Source organism: Homo sapiens, chromosome 5 (genome assembly GCF_000001405.40).
Source record: "Homo sapiens chromosome 5, GRCh38.p14 Primary Assembly".
NCBI classification, from domain to species: Eukaryota; Metazoa; Chordata; class Mammalia; order Primates; family Hominidae; genus Homo; species Homo sapiens.
The window spans coordinates 73749184-73769298 of NC_000005.10; the positions used below are offsets into that span (position 1 = coordinate 73749184).

General features: G+C 40.1%; 1 protein-coding gene across 4 annotated transcripts in view, besides 1 other annotated feature; it reads left to right on the plus strand.

The window, feature by feature from the left end:
• ARHGEF28 (Rho guanine nucleotide exchange factor 28) overlaps nt 1-20115 on the plus strand; it is a 315795-nt gene that overhangs the window by 122988 nt on the left and 172692 nt on the right. For 3 of the 4 annotated variants that reach the window (NM_001080479.3, NM_001177693.2, NM_001388078.1), the window contains exons 3-4: nt 654-801; nt 3726-4019. In NM_001080479.3, coding sequence (NP_001073948.2) covers nt 654-801; nt 3726-4019 — 442 coding nt within the window. The remainder of the gene's footprint in view (nt 1-653; nt 802-3725; nt 4020-20115) is intronic. The other variant, NM_001388076.1, reaches the window with a different exon arrangement.
• Nucleotides 741-1035: a silencer, noted in NCBI's record as "tiled region #14554; K562 Repressive non-DNase unmatched - State 21:Repr". NCBI's record gives its function as "represses a minimal TATA promoter and a strong SV40 promoter by Sharpr-MPRA in K562 cells {active_cell/tissue: K562}" and the evidence as "EXISTENCE:reporter gene assay evidence [ECO:0000049][PMID:27701403]".

Below are 20115 nucleotides of genomic sequence, written 5' to 3' on the forward strand. Positions count from 1 at the left end.
AGGGGGAGGGAGTAGTCCTATTTATTTGGCAATGTTTGTAAATATTTAAGATTCTTACAGCTGACTATGGTCTAGCACAGGGTGAGGCCAGAGCTAAGAATAATTATCATGAACTTTTGTACTAATAATGGAATTTTGGATACAGGATAAAAATTAACTCAAGCCATGATGTTCAGCTGGTAGAAATTCAGAGTAGAAGACTGCTGGGTGTGGTGGCACATCCTTGTAGCCCCAGCTACCAGGGAGGCTGAAGTGGGAGGATTGCTTGCGCAGAGGAGTTTAAGACCAGCCTGGGCAACATAGTGAGACCCTGTCTCTAAAAATAATTTTTGAAAAGCAAACGGCAACGAAGTACCACACTCCTACATCTAGTACATTTTAAAGAAAGAAAAAATTCTTTCCTGTGCCCTGAAGTTCTTTAACTTTAAAAACAGAACAAACCAGCTCTGATACCCATACCTAAATACATCAGGAAGCATCTTCCCTAATGTCAAATGTGTTGTTGTTGGAAGGAAGCACTCATGCTATTTGAACTCAACCACATGAAGTGAACATAACAAATGACACTGTTATGGACCCAGGTCCTTTGTATTGTGCTTTCTTAGAGCCAGGACAAGGAAGTCTGACAATGCCCCGACTTATTCCTTTTTCAGGGGCAGATGATGATCTATGCGAAGTTTGACAAAAATGTGTATCTTCCTGAAGATGCTGAGTTTTACTTTACTTATGACGGATCTCATCAGCGACATGTCATGATTGCAGAGCGCATCGAGGATAACGTTCTCCAGTCCAGCGTCCCAGGTGAGGTGTCCTCTTTGTTGTGCAGCTGGGAAATTAGTCTGCAAATAACTTCCCTCCAGGGCTGTAGGCCAGGAAGAGAGCCAGGAAGAAAAAGAAAACAGTGCTGCAAGGTCAGGAGTGTGTGCGTGCCTGTGTGTGTATGTGTATATTAGGAAGAACACTCACATCTGAGATTCTTCCAGTTGTATCTGCTGCTTAATTAGGAGTCTTAACTTAGACCAGGCAGACCCATCCTATTGACTGCACCCAACTTTTATGGTTGGGTGTGCTTTGCATGCAGTCAACTGGAGGAAACACTGTCTATTGAGTATCACCTCCTAATCACCTCCTATAACCTCAGACTCATTGCCAGGGTTGGCTCAGGCAGAACTGACATTGACAAAGTTTGTCTTCTCTCTTCCTCATTCTTCTGTAAGCAGCCTGGCAGCCATGGGTCTGCCTCTCCTCTGCTTGCTCCGTTTGGTCACTGGGGTTCTTTCCTTGATGCCCTGTCCATCCAGAATCTTCCTTGGGGGATCTCCAGCTCCAGAACTTTCTCTCCCCATCATCAAAATGCTTACATTTGGAAACCTGTAATTTCCCCTGTTGTCTTCTTGATAGATGACAAATTAATATATCCTGTTCACATATTGTGACGAGCTAATAGCCCTTCTCAATATAGTTGTTTTATATTTTTATTGGTATGTGGGTTGTGCATTTAAGAGTCATCAGGCTTTAACCTAATGGTGGAATTAAAATGTCATTACCTACAGGACAGGGAGGGCATTTTAGAATTCTTTTTTATTGATTGGTTGGTTTTTCTTAACTGTGGGTCTTTCAGGCCCTTTTAATTTGTATCATAAAGAGACTCTTTAATTTTTATTAGAGTTAAGATTGAGATCATTTTTAAAGGAGCTTGTCCCTACCTGCTTCTGTAACATATCTGCTACACGTGGAAAGAAGGTAGCCAGTGAACATGCAAACAACACAGACACAGTGAGAATTGTAGAGAAGTGCAGATACCTCTTAGCTCTACCTGGTCTTGGTCACTGAATTAATCTGTTGTCCAATTTCTGAGACCATCGGCAATTTTAAGCACTTCTGTCTTTAGTCCAGTAATCTGCATCGTTAAAAGAAAGAAAAGACAGTCAAACCGAATTAATGGGCCAGTCATGGTGGCTCATGCCTGTAATCCCAGCACTACGGGAGGCCGAGGTAGGAGGATCACCTGAGGTCGGGAGTTTGAGACCAGCCTGGCCAACGTGGGGAAACCCCATCTCTATTACAAATATAAAAATTAGCTGGGCATGGTGGCCGGTGCCTTTAGTCCCAGCTACTTGGGAAGCTGAGGCTGGAGAATCACTTGAACCTGGGAGACAGAGGTTGCAGTGAGCTGAGATCATGTCACTGCACTCCAGCCTGGGAGACAGAGCGAGACTCTGTCTCAAAACGAAAACAAAAACCAAAACAAATCTAATTAACGGCACATAGTTACTTCAGCTGTTGGTTGCTTTCCCTCTGCCCTTTTGCTCTGGCTAATGTTTTCCCTACCTTTCGTTTTGCTCCCTTTTCTTGGTTTTCTCCTTTATCAAGCCCTTATAGAGAAAGGATAAAAAATAATAACTAAAGTGCCACTCCTATTTTCAAAACTTTTTATCTTTTTCTTTACTTGCATGTGGTGGCGACTCTCCTCCTCCTTCCTTAGGAGGAAGGTAATATAATCTTTTGTTTATATTGTGGTCTACTTAAAAGTGAGGTTTCTTATCTTCATTTTAACAGAATCTAGAGGCAGGTGACAGTTTCTATTTCTGAACCTTGAATTTCCCTGGTGACAGCTTTTACCAGGACAACCTTTCAAAATCTGTAAGACAGATTTATTTAATATTTCCTGGGTATGTGTAGTCTGGTGGGAGGTGGGTGCATTCTGTGCCCGTACCATGAGACCACTTTTAAGAGTCGATGACAAAGTGACACTAGTTCTCTTTCAGTAAACTTGGGATAGTCTTGTTCCTTGGAGCCCTAGCTGCAAAGCCTCTGGGAAAAGTCTTTGGTGAATAAGGCAGAGGAGGAATGATTGTACCTGTTAGCCATTTGACTGGGGGCAACAGGGTGCTATGAACCAGTGGTAGCTGAATAACTCTTCTCTGTCCAGTCATGATTATCATGATCATAGTGATTTGCTGCCACCAATTCCTGAAAAATCTGCCAAGGGCAGCATAAAAATGTACCTGGGTAAGAGCTTCCCAGCTCTGGCAAAATAAGAGAGTGGGGCAAAGAAGAGGAAGAGTGAAGGGAGGGACAAACAGCAGGATTTGGTGACACTCTCAGGAGAAATATTGAGAACACCTACAAGACAGAGACACTATTGTCAGAAGAGGGGGCAGTGAGCAACAACACACACACACACATAGATATGTATATATATATTTTCCCTTTTGTTTTCTCTTGGGTAGTCTTCACCCACCTTAACTCACATTCAAAGGAGCTCTATGGAATTAGGGCAAACTTGTGTAATTGTATGGTGCTATCTTATAAACTTATTGCTTAAATATGTAAAAATATGTGACTCAGGAGGAAATGGCAGAGTGGAAAAGAGCAAAGGACTTGAAGACAACAAACACAAATTCAGGGGTCAGGGTAGGAGTAAAAGGTTAAAGGAATGCTGAATAGCAGTGTTTGGTAACGATAGGAGAACAGATGCTCAAGTGTTCAGAGCTCGTAAAGGTAAGTTTTAAAATCAGGAGTAACTGAAAGAAGATGGAGTCAGCATTAGTTTGGCCCACATGCTTGGCAGTGTGTAAGGGTAATGGGCTGGCTTTCCTTTCTGCTTTGTTCTCCTGGAGCGTGTTGTCTGCTTAAGCTATGTGGTGGGGCTAGCACATTGGACCCCTGTGAGAGCATCTCCTACAGACTTGGGGTGAACTGTTCACTGTCTTGTTGTCCAGGCCATGGGCTTCAGGAGACGGTGACGGTATCTGTGTGCCTCTGCTCGGAAGGTTACTCTCCGGTGACCATGGGCTCTGGCTCAGTGACCTACGTGGACAACATGGCTTGCAGGCTGGCTCGTCTGCTGGTGACGCAGGCCAATCGCCTCACAGCCTGCAGCCACCAGACCCTGCTGACCCCATTTGCCTTGACGGCAGGAGCACTGCCTGCCTTGGATGAGGAGCTCGTGCTGGCTCTGACCCATCTGGAATTGCCTCTAGAGTGGACTGTGTTGGGAAGTTCTTCACTTGAAGGTGGGTCATCACCAGAAAATTCAGATATCCCCTCTGTGTGTCAAGTTCAGAATGTACCTTATGCTATACTGTGTGTTCCCCTCGGCAGGTTTTCCTGCCCACTTTTTACCTGAACCTTGCTCTGATGTGGAGGGGCTCCCTGAGGTCCTGAGCCACTCATCTCTGGGCTGGTTTATGTGACTCCGTGCCAGGAGGTGTGGGATAAATGGAAGAGCCTTGTCTCAAGTGGGGAAAGACTGTTTCTTTATGGTATGCTCTTGAGTCAGCTGCTCTGGGCTGTGGCTCCACTTCCCTTGGCAAGTTTTCTTGCTGTGGGAAGGGGACATTGCTGCCCCATTTCCAAATAGGTAGGCTCACTGGACAAGAAAGATCATGTCACCAACTCTGTGAAACACCTGGAAGACATGTGACCACATGGGAAACATAACCAATGAATTGACATCTTTGAAAGTGTCAGTGTCACTGAGAGCATTTGTGTTACATTTGTACTAGTTTTTGGAGTTCTAAAGACCAAATGGACTCTGAATACCAAGTATTTGGAATCTGCGTGTGAACAAGGCTATAGATGTTATATATAGGCCCTTACTAGACATGAGGCTAAACTGATCAATAGATGCTTTTTAAAAATGAAAAAATAAAATCTTTTTTTGAGAGATGGGGTCTCACTGTGTTGCTCAGGCTGAACTTGAACTTCTGACTTCAGTGATCCTTCTGCCTCAGTCTCCCAAAGTGCTGGGATTACAGGCATGAGCCCACGTGTCCAGCCAATAGCTGCTTTTTATTGGTGATTACAAGTTATATATAATTTTATTGGAAATACACAAATGTTGTTTTGTAATTTATTAAATACAACATATATTATTGCTTTTTTTTGCTATCCTTCCTGTGACCTTAGCTTTGTAGTCAGATGATGCTATTTTTGAGAGTTTCTGCTTCCTGGTAAATTCTAGTTGTAAGTTTCAGGTTGGCTTAAATTCGATCATGGATGAGATTAAATGCACTGCTCTGGGTAAAGGGGTGTGAATTTTGTAAACAGAATTATAAAGCCATAAGTCACAATCCAAAAGGATCTCTGTTTCTTTCCTTTAATCAGGGTCACACTAAAACTCTTCTGGGTACTTAAAGACGTCTCTTGTTTTTAAGACCTTGGATGAGGGAAGTCACAAGTCTAGTCCAGCACCGAGCCATGCCTGAATCCTGTGTGCTGTACTCTCCTGTGTGGTGGCTAATTGATACGTATGGCGTGGGCTCCCTGAGGGTGTGGGTGGTGTTTGTTCTGCTTGCTATTATCCCCAAGGATTCAGCAAGGAGATATGAAATATAAGGGGGAGTTGCAGTGATGATACTTGAAAGGTCTTGGGATACACCATTCATTCATTCATTCAACAAATACTTTTTAAAAATGAAGTATTAATAAAATATTTTTAATAAAGTATTTAATAAAGTAAATGTGCTGCACATTTTAAATTTCTACAATGAGTCATAGTAGTACCTGCTTCTTTAGCTGATGAGACAGGGTCATCTTGCTCTGTTGCCCAGGCTGGAGCGCAGTGGCACAATCATAGCTCACTGCAACCTCAAATTCTTGGGCTCATGTGATCCTACTGCCTCAGATTCCCGGGTATCTAAGATTATAGGTGTATGTCACATGCCTGGCTAATTAAAATTTTTATTTTTATTTTTATTTTATTTATTTATTTATTTATTTTTTTAGAGACAGAGTCTTGCTGTATTTCTCAGGCTTGTCTCAAACACCTGGCCTCAGGCGAGCCTCCCACCTCAGCCTCCCCAGTAGCTGGGATTATAGGCACCTGGCTCAACAAATATTTCTTAAACTCTTGCTATGTGCTAAGCCCTTATATACAAGGGAATTGCAATAGTAATACTTGATCGTCTGGAGATACACCCTTTCTATCTCACATATGTAAGTGATAGATGACATGTATGATCTACATTAATATAGATATAGTATATATAAATTTATATATCTATGATACATATTGTCTATATCTAAATATTATATACATATAATGTTTTCTGGCTAAGAAACTTCATCTTAAGCCTCTTGGATTTTTAAAAAGATTTCTAACTATAATATTGGAAGGTGTTTTTTTGGGGGGGTGTGGATCCATTTTGACAAAGACACAAAAGTTTCATGATTTCCCATGAGTAAAGGAAGAGCATCACAGCCTCACGCAGGGGCAGATGCAGGTTAGTCCCACAGCCCCTCCCCAGGCCAGCAAGTCTCTCAGCACAGCAGCTTGGTGCCTGCAGCGGTTTAATTTGTGCCTCTGAAAAATTACAAATTGTTGAAGGTCATGGAACCTCATAACTGCACATGAATAGCTTAAACTAAGGGTCTCCAAAATGGAATTCATGTTACCCGCATACTATATTTATTTTTTATGCCGATATTTAGAAATACATTCATACTCTCTAGTATTTAATCCGTGGATTGCAATAATAGAAGCATACAGTTTTCCATGCTGGGCATGCCTGCTCAAAGTTATTTTTGCTGGTAGAGATACATAAAAAAATAAGTTTGGAGAACGCTTGACAACTCATGTTGTCGAGGGCCATCCTATTGCCATTTTCATTGCTATTTGGGGATACATTCTTGTTTGCCAGGCTTTTAGCTGTCATGGCCTTTGATTTATCCATATTTTTATAACAGACAGATTTATGTCACCAGGAGGTCCTTTCTGACCCCTCTGCCAGTATTTATACATACTATATGTATTTTCATGAGAGAAAAACTGGAGTGGTTTCTTTTCATAGTAAAACACTTTTCTATTCTAGTGTCCTAGTTGTTAAGAATGTGTGCTGTGGAGGCAGGTTCAGATCCTGACCTTATTACCTCCTGGCTGTGAGACTTGGGCAAGGTATTTTAGTTCTGGTGCTGCACATTTTTAATTTCTACAATGAGGCATAGTAGTACCTGCTTCATTAGCTGGTTGTGATGATTTAATTAGATAATGTATGGCAAGACCTCTAGAAGAGTATCTAAACATATTAAGTTTTCAGTAAAAGGTGATGTTGGTATGTGCATGTGAATAAATTTTCATATATAGAGTGTATTGTATGTACTTATATGTGCATAGGTAGAAAGCAGATACAATTGGTTTGGACAAATGAAGCTGAAGGCAAAGTATAAAATCCTGGCATTGTAAGCAATTCTTTGAAAATTTCTAGGAATGTTTCTAGACTTTCTCTAAAGGCAGTTTGTAGTACTTGAGGTAAAACTGTCTGCAGCCTAGACTTGTAGTGTAGCTTCTCTACAACATCAATGTCAAGCGACAGGGTTAATGCTCATGTTTGAAGTCGAATTTTACTCTGAAGGTTATGACCATCTTATGAGATTTGATTCAGCCCACCATGTGTTTAAATCTCTGTATCTGCCTGTTCACACCTCAGTTCTGTTATGTATGTATGTAGGGGCTCATATATGGATATTGGCTAAGTTTAGATTGGTAGGTCTTAACAGATGTATTTATCAGTACATTTCTGTCAAAATTATTCCACGTTAAAAAAAACAAATTGGGCATTTAGATGAATAGATTCAAATATAAATTCTTCTGTGTCAGTTTTAATTTTGTACTTTAGAAATTGTATTAGATACTAGGTAGAAGGAAAACGTGGAGTTTTTATTGTATTTACTGAATCAAGTAGTTGGACATAAGTTAATCATTTTATAGTTGGGAATAAACAAGAGTATTTGGTGAAGGACTAACATTAATGCCCTAGATTAACTGGATTATATTAGATTTTTACAATGCACATGTATACTCTATGGATGTATTTTGACTCATTGCCTATTCATAACCATTTGGTGGGGTTCCACTAATCTTGAGCTGTTTTGGATTTGTTTTTTGTTGTATTTTTAATTTAATAGAGTTTTAATCTAAGCAGTTTAAAACCTCTTATGTGCTTATAGGTCTTTTTTAGTATACATATTTTATTTGTGTTGCTTGTCTTCAGGTAGATAAATTATAATAATGATGTGAAAAATAAACTGTGCCATCGGACCCACTGGACATTATAATGTATTAGTGGCAGTGGCATCACAGGTGGAAAACAATTTCTTTCCTAGTAATTTTTCTTCCAGTACTTGTCCAAAAATTATTTTAATGCTCAGTGTTCACTTTTATTAAAATTTTTTTGTGATTATTTATTTATGATTTCTTCAAATATAAATAGATCTTACCGAAGGAGTATTCATTGATTTCTGTAATGACTTTGTCTTGGAAGAGTGATCAAAACCCTGCTGTGACACATTACTGTATTCTTTGCATTTTATAATGAACTTCTCATTTTTTTCCCTTGTCAATCATTGAGAGTTATTAGGAAGGACTGGGAATCTGGAAAAAGGCCAGAGTCTGAGTAGAGCATGGATCTTGTAACAAAAAGCAGAGCCTTCTTTCAGCCCTGTATCTTACCCGTCATTAGTCACAATGCAACTTCATTATGTGTTTGAGGAAAGGAAATATCCCAGATTTTATTTAATTTTAGACCATAAATAAAATTGGATTTCTAGTTCATAAAATTAAGACCATTCCTTTTATGAAATAGCATTCATAATAGTGCCTTGTGCAGGGTCTCAGAAGCCCAAATTTGGAGTAAAGCATTGAATAGTAATATAATTATTCAACAGAATCTCACAATTTATTTTTATTTTTTTGTTTTGGGTTTCTTGCTTGTTTGTTTTTTGAGCAGAAATCTTTTCTCAGAGATTTGTATAATTTTGACAATTAGGTTAACTGGGATAACACATTCTAATGTTTTATGTGTTGATGCTCAGATGACTTTGGAGTTGAAAGCCCCCTCGACCTTCCTGCTCCATCAAACTACCTCCCTCCACTTGTGTTCCCAGTAGCTTGATATGGCTGGCAAGCACCAAGCTTGCCAACACCAGTGAGGGGCTGCCATGTGGGTAAAGAACCCAAGGGTACTACAAATGGTATCTCCAAAGACAGATGGCATCGTTCCTGTGAACACAGTAGCTTCTCTCCTAACCTATGGAGTAGGTCGAGCTTGTCCTGGTTAGGATTTCTAATTTAAGAGAAAAATAAAGCCCAGTTCCTTAAAAAAACAAAGAGGTCATATAAAGAATATTTCTCACATATGTTTACACTTACAAACTAATATATAACAATTTGGAAGACTCAAGATATTTTTTGCCAGAGTAAATTACTATTGTTTTCAAAAACGAACTTGGACTCTTCCAGTTGTCTAGGTAAAAGTAGTTCATGTGATCAAAGGTCTCCTAACAGGCAGAAGTTCTTCTGCTCATTATGGAACAGGTGCATTCTTTGTTATATCCATCATAAAAACATAACCAAACCTGTTTATTTTTTATTTTTATTTTTTTTTTGAGACGAAGTCTCACTCTGTTGCCCAGGCTGGAGTGCAGTGGGATGATATTGGTTCACTGTGACCTCTGCCTCCCGGATTCAAATGATTCTCCTGCCTCAGCCTCCTGAGTAGCTGGGATTACAGGTGTGTGCTACCACGCCTGGCTTATTTTTGTATTTTTAGAGATGGGGTTTCACTATGTTGGCCAGTCTGGTCTCGAACTCCTGACCTCAAGTGATTCACCCACCTCGGCCTCGCAAAGTGCCAAACCTGGTTTTGTAAAGGTACTAGCATGAATTGAATCTGCAGGGCAAAAATATTAAAGTGTTTAACAAAACAAAGTATTACCTGGCAGATTGCTTCGTCAGGTTTAAAGAGTTAAGCTTTTCTCCTGCCTTTGTGATTGGTTCTATGAGTGAAAGAAAATTTTAAGGTAACCCAATTGAACTTTTGGAACTCTTCTATAGGAATGTTTTGGACTTCAACACAGCTGATGTATTTAGAGGATCCAGCTTCTCATTCTGTGGGTCCATGGTTGGTTGGAGAGCTGTCCCCAAAGAAAACCAATTGGTGGAACTAGCAGGACCCACTGAGGGTGGCTTAAGAATTGAATATTTTCCAAAAGTCAGATTAAGAGTACACTCCTTAACTTGCAAATAACACCAATAGAGTTATAACAACCACAACAGATTTAAACTTGAATCCAGAAATTAGAGAAATGATTTGTTAGTTTCAAGGACAAATCCAAGTACAAGTCACAGCATAATGAGTAGTAAGTTAAAGGAAATATAGAAAACCTTGTCATGGCCCACACATGTAATGTATAGGTAAAGTAATGTGATGCTCTTACTATGGAGAAGGGTCGTTAGTATAACGCTCTGCTCTTGCCTGAATAGGGTCTTCATAAATTAGTTCCTTTTGAAGGAGAATGTTTGTTTTTCTATGCTTTACACATAATGGAAAGAAAAGGAAAAGAAATACAGAGGCCCGAAAGGACTTTAGAAGACGTTTATAAGAGTTAGGGTTATCTAGCAGTTCTTTTTTTCCCCTAAATTTATTATTATTTTTAATTCAATAGCTTTTTGGGGAACAGTAGATGTTTGGTCCAGCAGTTCTTAAAATGTGTCTTGATTGTTCGGTGTTCACTTAAGTTTAAAAAGCAGTTTTAATATTGCTTCTTATCTGCAGGAAAAGCCATTACATAGGAATTAACAGTTCATTACAAAAGAGTGGATGGGAACTACTCATTTTATGTGACAGCCACATCTTGCTTCAAGCCACATACCCTGAAACTTCTAGGCAACAAGAGAAGGGAATATGTGGCCTAGCAATGTTTGACAGAGAAAAATATCTGTTTCTCTTTCTTTGAATACAGAAAAGAGATCTGTAGCCAGTAGGAAGCAAGATTTGTTTAATGTTTGAAATGGAGCGTGGCTTGTGGTTTTATCTTTGAATACTGTCTGCTGGCTGTAGATATAGAAAGAAAATAGAGCAAGGCCCCAGAGCCTGGCACTGTGGGTTGGCCTGATGACTGCACTGTGTCCAGGTCTTACTAACCAGAGAAGGGCAAACTGATTTATAAGACTTACTTGCTGGCCCACAGATGAAGTAAAATGTCAGCTTTGTTACTCTGCCATAAAGCTCTGTACTGGACAGCAAGTTTGAAATAACATTAGCTGAAACACCAGTGGGTAGGAAACCCATAAAGGACAGATTTATTACAAAATACAAGAAATACAAGTTTCCAGTGTTTTTTTTTTTTTAAGTTTTGAAATCAATACATTATGGGTAACAACTGATTCAGGGGTTTTGTATGTTTCTCTTGGAAATCTTGACATTTTTCAAGGGGTTGTGTACACACTCAGTATTGCTGTCTAGCCTTCTGTCAATTCTGATAGTATCTAATGGGACAAACATCTCTACACCTTTTCTGACATTTCAAGCTGGTAGTATACTCCTTCTGTTGCTAAGGCAACCCACTGGATGAACACTAGGGGTGGAGAGAATGTTCTTTAGATCCTATGGCACTTGTTATGATGGTAAATCGATAAAATTGTTTTACAGTTCTCAGCTATATATATGTATATTATTTGTGAAGCTTTAAATCCTTAATTTTAAAATGTCTTCTTTGTCTTACATTCCTTTTGTAGTTTTTAATTTTTGAGGAATATGTTTTCTGGCAGTAAAGAATTTAATATAGAATTAAACTTCTAAGGAAAAGGACTCCTCTCCCCCCAATCATTTGAATTCATTTTTCAGTTTAAGTAGGTAAACTCTTATTGAACACATTCTCTGTTTAAGGTACTACATGTTAAATAAGAAACAGCAGCTTAACTCTTCCTTAAAAAATAAGCTTCCTACTTTTGTCTGGCAACAATGGCCCTTATACTGGAATAGAGAATTACGCACTTACTCCCACTTCTGGGAAATAGAACGTAGAGTTGGATTCCGGTCACTCTCTCTCCCTCAATTATAATTTTCAAGAACAAAAAATGTAAATGGAAGCAAACAGCCTACCCAATGTGCTTCCCAAAGGATTCGGGACTGTAGAAGGTTTTTGAAGTCCCATTCCTGGCTTACCTCCTCTGGGGCTTTTCTCCCCTTAAAACGTAGCAGGATGCATATAGCAGTTTTTGCTTGCACGCAGAGGATTAAAGCTGAATTTAAAAAATGACAGTAACCAAGGAATATCTTCATAACCTTGAAGGAGAAAGTTAAAATTTTGCTATTCTCATAGATTTCTTAATGGGATTTGAATGCTGGCAGTTGTCCTTGTACTATTTTATCTACAAACCAAATGAAATATTGGTTTGTAGATAAAACATTGGTTTTAAAACTACCAATGTTTGGAGGTTAAAATCCCCACGATTGAAAAAGTTGGGTAGGAGAGATCTGGGGAGGAGAGTGAGGCAGGGAGCCAGAAGAGATGGTACATTCTTAGGGAAATGAATAATTGTGCGTCCTGTTCCAAAGTCCCCCTTTACTTGGCCCAGTGTTGTTTAAGAGGCCTTGTCTTGACTCTCTCAAATATAAGCCTTGGTGTGGGGATGAAGCTGTATGGATAGAAACCTCAAAAAATCTTCTGTAATCCTACCCTAGGTCCCCATATACCTACTGTCCTTTTCCACACCTATAACTGTAGTTGCTTTTATTTTGCAAGTTTGACATGAGAATGTATGTGTACTGTGAGTGGCGACACATCAGGTCAATATCTGGAGGAGAGGAGAAGCATGAGTGACGGATGTGAGCCTGGGTCCTTAGAATTTGCTCAGCTCAAGTTCCTTCTGCTTATTTTTCCCTCACTCTCAATTTGTTGATTTTTTTTAAGATGGGGTGTCGCTGTATTGCCCAGGCTGGTCTCAGACTTCTGGGCTCAAGTGATTCTCTTTCCTCATCCTCCCTAGTAACTGGGACTATAGGTGTGTGCCACCACAACTGGGTAATTTTTTTTTTTTTTTTTAGAGATGAAGGTCTTGCTATATTTCTCAGGCTGGTCTCCAACTCCTGGGCTCAAACGATCCTCCTACCTCAGCCTCTGAGTAGCTGGGACTACAGGAATGAGCCACCACACCTGGCTGGTTCTATCTTTCCTTGCCCTCTTTAAAAAAATCTATTTTGAGGCTGAGTGTGGTGGCTCACACCTGTAATCCCAGCACTTTGGGAGGCTGAGGTGGGTGGATCACTTGAGGTCAGGAGTTCAAGACCAGACTGACCAATATGGTGAAACCGTGTCTTTACTAAAAATACAAAAATTAGCCAGGCGTGGTGGTGCATGCCTGTAATCCCAGCTACTTGGGAGGCTGAGGCAGGAGAATTGCATGAACCCAGGAGATGGAGGTTGCAGTGAGCCAAGATCACACCACTGCACTCCAACCTGGGTGACAAAGCAAGACTCCCTCTCAAAAAAAAAAAAAAAAAAAACAAAACAACAACAACAAAATCTATTTTGAGCTTTTTATTCTTGTATAAATTTTTCTTCACTACTCCCATCTTCCCATCTGCAGTTTATAATAGGAGATACAGGTATATAAGTATTACATGAGTCAATTCCTGATTTTTAAAAAGTAGTCCCCAATTCTTGTAGTATATGACTCTCCTATGTTTCTTGTCAACACATTTAATTTTTATAGTCTTGATTTTTTTTTGTTGTTGGCTTTAATGTATTTTTCCTTGACAAGTACATGAGATATATCACTGCAGTTGGGGCCAATTCAAGCCATCCTTTGTATAATGAGAGGCATAATAGTTAAGAACTTGAGTTTTGGAGGTGGAAAAATCTAGGTTCAAATCCTTCATGTTCCATATACTACTTAAGTGAGCCTAAGCAATTGCATAATTATGTCAAGGCTTAGTTTCTGCCCCTATAAAATAAGGATAGTAATAGTACATACATCATAGAATGGCTGTCAGGATTAAATGAGATAACGCATATAAAGTGCTGAATAAAGGTTAGCTCTTTATAGAAACAAGAAAGGTAAAATCCTTATCATAGTCACTGACACTGAGTAAGAATGAAAGAAGAAATGTTGGTGTGGTGGTTCATTTCTTTTTTTCATTCATGGATAATCGTTGTCCATCTGTATTCCTGGTTGACTTTTTTCCAACCTCCCCTTCCTCCCTCCAGATATGGCAGCATCTTTTATACTGATTTCCGGTTTGGTTTATCCCATTTACCTTCCTCTTCTAGTCTCACCAGAATATCCCTTGTTGATTGTGCCTTACAGGTGAAGGAAAGGATGAAATCATCCATTGAAGCTGTAGCTCATACCCAAAGAGTGTAATATTTCTAATATTTCTCAATCCGGGACTTTGGACACAAGACACTGGCTTCCAGTGCAAGGGCACTGAATGGACCCTGCCTGGCTGTAGGCGAATGGCCAGTTTCCTGGTTGTCTTTGAAGGCAGACTTCCAATGCAGACTTCAAAGGGCCATCTGCGAGGCATGATGAGTCCACACTTTTTCTGCTTGTCAATAATAAAATTAGACTGCAATGTATTTTCATTTGTCTCCCAAACAGAACAGGGTCCCTGGAGAGTCAAGTGGGAGGGCGTCTGAGAATTCTAGCTCATCTGGGGTATAAGGGGAGATCTTGCAGAAGAGTGCCTGCACACAGTTGGCTATCAGCAAATATCTGTTGAGTGAAATGAATGGTGGACTTGAATCATAGCCTTGAAGCAACATTAACAAATGAAAGAAAAATCGATAAAGGCTGGAAAGGAGGAGGTATGCCATAATTGCTACTTACAACACCTAATGACCGCCTGCTGCCCAAAGCATGGGATTACAGCACATTTGTCTTAATAGCACATCTGATGCAATTACAGTGCACGGTAAGCAGGCAGCTAGTTCCTTACAATTATGCCTTTAAATTGTGACCACAGGAAAATTGTTTTCAGACATACCACATATCTATTTAGTGACTGTTTATTGTAGTTTTTTTGTATTAAAAAGATCAGACAAATGTGTAAAACTGCTTAGTCCCCCCAATACTGGCTTTTATAGTTCTTGACAGCCCTGTCCCATTTGTTATTTTCATTACAGCCCCCTGGCAATCCCAGGTAGTAGGCTGGGCAGTTATCATGTCCGTTTTACAGATCAAGCAACTTGAAACTTGAGAATTAAATGGCTTTCCATTTCATTCTAGCTGTTAGCTGGAGGCTTGCTATGTGTTCAAATCCAGAGCTTTGAATCCTTGGTCTCCCCATCTTTGTACCATACAGTGTTGTATCTGGATTCTTAATATCTTATACTGGTGGCTATATGCATAATTTAGTTTGGAAATATCCTCAGAATGTGAAGGTCAAAAATTGAGTTGCCATCTTGAAATTCTGATGAAGACTTTTTAAAGTTGCAACTGATTTAGTATTCGTTCCACAAGCTAAAATAAAGTATATCTTGCCAATATGAGATGCAAAATCCAGGAAGTACATTCCAGTGTTATACAGCACTATGTGAATTTTCTGGAATGAATGTGTGTGTGATGGGTGTTTTCCCAAATTATTTTCAGGTGATTTTCAGCCGGAGGTGGTTGTAATATGAGTGTCTCGACTGTGCTGAAGCAGAAAACAAGTTTTAGGGAGGAAAAACCTGCCATTATGCTTGTTTCAGTCCTCCTCCTCTACCTTTTGGGCTTATGATCCAGCCATGCCAACCATGTTGGTCTTGCGCTCTGTGGAATGTCCTGATTTCATGTCTTTCTTATGAGTGTGTTTGTATTTGCAGTTCCTATCCTGGACTCACCAACCTCAGATCTCCTGTTTACAAAAGGCTGATTTGTTTATCTACATGCCAGAGCTCTGAGTAGGCTGTGTAAATGGAAGATGCTCTAAGGCACAACCCTTTTCTCATTCTTATTGAGAATCCTGAAAACATCTTAAAGATTGTGTATGATACCCATGCCAAATTCTCTCTTCTACTCTCTATGTAAATTTTTAATAATTTTTTTCATTGTACTTTTTGTTCATCATTTTTGGCATTTTATAAATATCTGTAAATTTTCATATCATGATACATGATGTAGGTTGAATTAATTTAACATGCAGATTTGTTTTCTTGTAGTCCAGACAGTTTCCTTACTTCTATTCACATTCTTTGTGTCTAGAACTACAAACAATGAAGTAAGCCTAGAGCTGTAGTTCATCACATAGTGATTTCATGGGCCAGATATTTATAGACAGTCCCTGATTTATGATGGTTTGATTTATGATTTTGATTTTATCATTGTGTGAAATGTGATGGTGTGAAAGCAATATACATTCAGTAGAAAGTGTACTTCAAATTTTGAATTTTGACCTTTTCCTGGGCTAGGCCATATGCAGTATGATACTCTTGTGATGCTGGACAGTAACGGTGAGCCACGGCTCCCAGTCAGCCAGCCACACAATCACAAGAGTAATCAGTCAATACTCCACAGTGCATTGTGTGGCCAGTGGTTTTTGGATATTGTGTTTTGTGTTTGGCCATCCCATCATATCTACAAAACACCTATTTTCAACTTACACTATTTTCTACTTATGACTGGTTTATTGAGATATAATTCCATCGTAAGTCAAAGAGTATCTGTATTTTATTCTGAACAAAAGTAAGCTAGCTGTATGCTTCTCAAGGGCAGGGACCACCACACTCATCTTTGTATCCACAGGGCCTGGCAGATAATAATGGTCTCATTCAATGTTTGTCTACTGAATGACTTAGATGAACAAATTGAGACCTGCATGAATACATATGTGGCTTTGGAAATCAGAATAAAACTTATTTTAATGAGTTGAATTTAATGTGAATCAAAAAAAAATTAGTCTTCTAAAAACGTATTGTGGGCTGGGCGCGGTGGCTCACGCCTGTAATCCCAGCACTTTGGGAGGCCGAGGTGGGCGGATCACAAGGTCAGGAGATCGAGACCATCTTGGCTAACATGGTGAAACCCCGTCTCTACTAAAAATACAAAAAATTAGCCAGGCGCAGTGGCGGGTGCCTGTAGTCCCAGCTACTCGGGAGCCTGAGGCAGGAGAATGGCGTGAACCTGGGAGGTGGAGCTTGCAGTGAGCTGAGACTGTGTGCCACTGCAATCCGGCCTGGGCTAAAGAGCAGGACTCCATCTCAAAAAAAAAAAAACAAAAAACAAAAAACAAAACAAAACAAAACAAAAACGTATTGTGTTGCATACATTTCAATGGCTCCACTCAGGTGTTGTGAAACATTACTTAGCCCTAAAAAATATAAGTACTTCTGAATTAACTTGTATTGAAAAATATTATTTGCTTTTAGATTATGGTATCCATCACATTTTTGCTTTAATATTTTGCTAAATGTTTAAGCTCTTTCCTGGTTTAGCAGTAAGTAATGTAGGTTAAAAATAACTTGTAAAACTCACAGAAAACTCTTTTTGTTGTTCTTTGGTAAAATCTTATACCTAATAGATCTTAATTAAGAGCTGACTGGGTAGGCTGTGTTATAAAAGGAAGATATAGGTTTGTATTTTGCTAACCACTTATTAATTTAAATTAGCAGATCCCAACTCTGGCTTTGCATTGGAATCACTTGAGAATATTTGGAAAAGTGTGATGACTTGGCCCTGCCCCAGAAGTTCTGATTTAATTTTTCTGGAGAGGGCCTTAAACATCAGTCTTATTAAAAAATAATAAAATAAGTTAAATAATTAACCAAGGTCTCCAGAACTCACAATCACTGCTAGAGGCAATGTAAGTTATTACCACCATTTTTGGAAAACACAGCAGCATTATCTAATACATTTAGAGAAACTAATATCTCATAGCAAATCTGTTCCATAGCAATTCCATTCCTACCTATAAACCCTAGCAAGAAAACATGCTGATATGGTTTGGCTGTGTCCCCACCCAAATCTCACCTTGAATTGTAACTCCCACAATTCCTACATGTCATGAGAGAAACTGGTGTGAGGTGATTGAATTATCGGGGTGGGTCTTTCCTGTACTATACTCATGATAGTGAATGAGTCTCATGAGATCTGATGGTTTTTAAAATAGGAGTTTCCCTGCACAAGCTCTCTCTCTTGCCGCCACCATGTAAGAAGTGCCTTTTGCCTTCTGCTGTGATTGTGAGGCCTCCCTAGCCACATGGAATTGTAAGTCCATTAAACCACTTTCTTTTGTAAATTGCCCAGTCTCAGGTATGTCTTTATCAGCAGCATGAAAATGGATTAATAGAGTAAATTGGTACCACTAGAGTGGGGTGCTGCTGAACAGATACCTGAAAATGTGGAAGCAACTTTGGAACTGGGTAACAGGCAGGGGTTGGAACAATTTGGAGGGCTCAGAAGAAGACAGGAAAATGTGCAAAAGTTTGGAACTTCCTAGAGACTTGTTGAATGGCTTTGCCCAAAATGATTATAGCAATATGGACAATAAATTCCAGGCTGAGGTAGTCTCTGATGGAAATGAGGAACTTGTTGAGAACTGGAGCGAAGGTTACGTTTTAGCAAAGAGACTGACAGCATTTTGCTCCTGTGCTAGAGATTCGTGGAATTTTGAACTTGAGAGCCATGATTTAGGGCATCTGGCGGAAGAAATTTCTAAGCAGCAAAGCCTTCAAGAAGTGACTTGGGTGCTGTTAAAGGCATTCAGTTTTATAAGGGAAGCAGAGCATAAAAGTTTGGAAAATTTTTGGCCTGACAATGCAATAGAAAAGAAAATCCCATTTTCTGAGGAGAAATTCAAGCTGGCTGCAGAAATTTGTATAAGTAATGAAGAACTGAATATTAATCCCCAAGACAATGGGGAAAATGTCTCCAGGGCATGTCAGAGGGCTTCATGGGAGCCCCTCCCATTATAGGCCCAGAGGCCTAGGAGGAAATGGTTTCATGGGCTGGGCCCAGGGTCCCCATGTTGTGCAGCCTAGGGACTTGGTGCTTGGCATCCCAGCTGCTCCAGCCGTAGCTGAAAGGAACCAACACAGAACTCGGGCCATGGCTTCTGAGGCTGCAAACCTCAAGCCTTGGCAGCCTCCACATGGTGTTGAACCTGCAAGTGCACAGAAGTCAAGAATTGAGGTTTGGGAACCTAGATTTCAAAGAATGTATGGAAATGCCTGTATGTCCATGGCAAAAGTTTGCTGCAGGGGTGGGGCTTTCATGGAGGACCTCTGCTAGGGTAGTGTGGATGGGAAATGTGAGGTGGGACCCCCCACACAGAGTTCCTACTGGGACACTGCCTAGTGGAGCTGTGAGAAGAGGGCCACAATCTTCCAGACCCCAGAATGGTAGATCCACTGACAGCTTGCGCTGTGTGCCTGGAAAAGCCACAGACACTCAATATCAGCCCATGAAAGCAGCTGGGAGGGAGGCTTTACCCTGCAAAGCCACAGGGGCAGAGCTGCCCAAGACCATGGGAAACCACCTCTTGCATCAGTGTGACCTGGATATGAGACATGGAGTCAAAGGAGATCATTTTTGGAGCTTTAAGATTTGACTGCTCCACTGAATTTCAGACTTGCGTAGGGCCTGTAGCCTCTTTGTTTTGGCCAATTTTTCCCATTTGGAGTGAGTGTATTTACCCAATGCCTGTAACCCCATTGTATCTAGGAAGTAACTAGCTTGCTTTTGATTTTACAGGCTCATAGGCAGAAGGGGCTTGCCTTGTCTCAGATGAGACTTTTGACTGTGGACTTTTGAGTTAATGCTGAAATGAGTTAAGACTTTGAGGGACCATTGGGAAGGCATGATTGGGTTTAAAATGTAATTTGGGAGGGGCCAGGGGAAGAATGATATGATTTGGCTGTGTCCTCACCCAAATCTCATCTTGAATTATAACTCCCACAATTCCCATGTATCATGGGAGGAACCTGGTAAGAGGTGATTGAATTATGGGGATGGGTCTTTCCTGCACTGTTCTCATGATAGTGAATGAGGCTCACGAGATCTGATAGTTTTCAAGATGGGAGTTTCCCTGCACAAGCTCCCTCTTGCCGCTGCCATGTAAGAAGTGCCTTTTGCCTTCCACCATGATTGTGAGGCCTCCCTAGCCATATGGAACTGTAAGTCCATTAAACCTCTTTCTTTTGTAAATTGCCCAGTCTCAGGTATGTCTTTATCAGCAGCATGAAAATGGACTAATACACACACAAATATCAGAAAAAATATTTTACCCTGTGTCTGTATGTGTATATATATATGTGTGTGTGTGAGAGAGAGAGGCAGAGGGAGACAGAGACAGAAAAACAGAGAGATACACTCATACCAATGGACCTCAGGAGTGCAAATACCCCTCC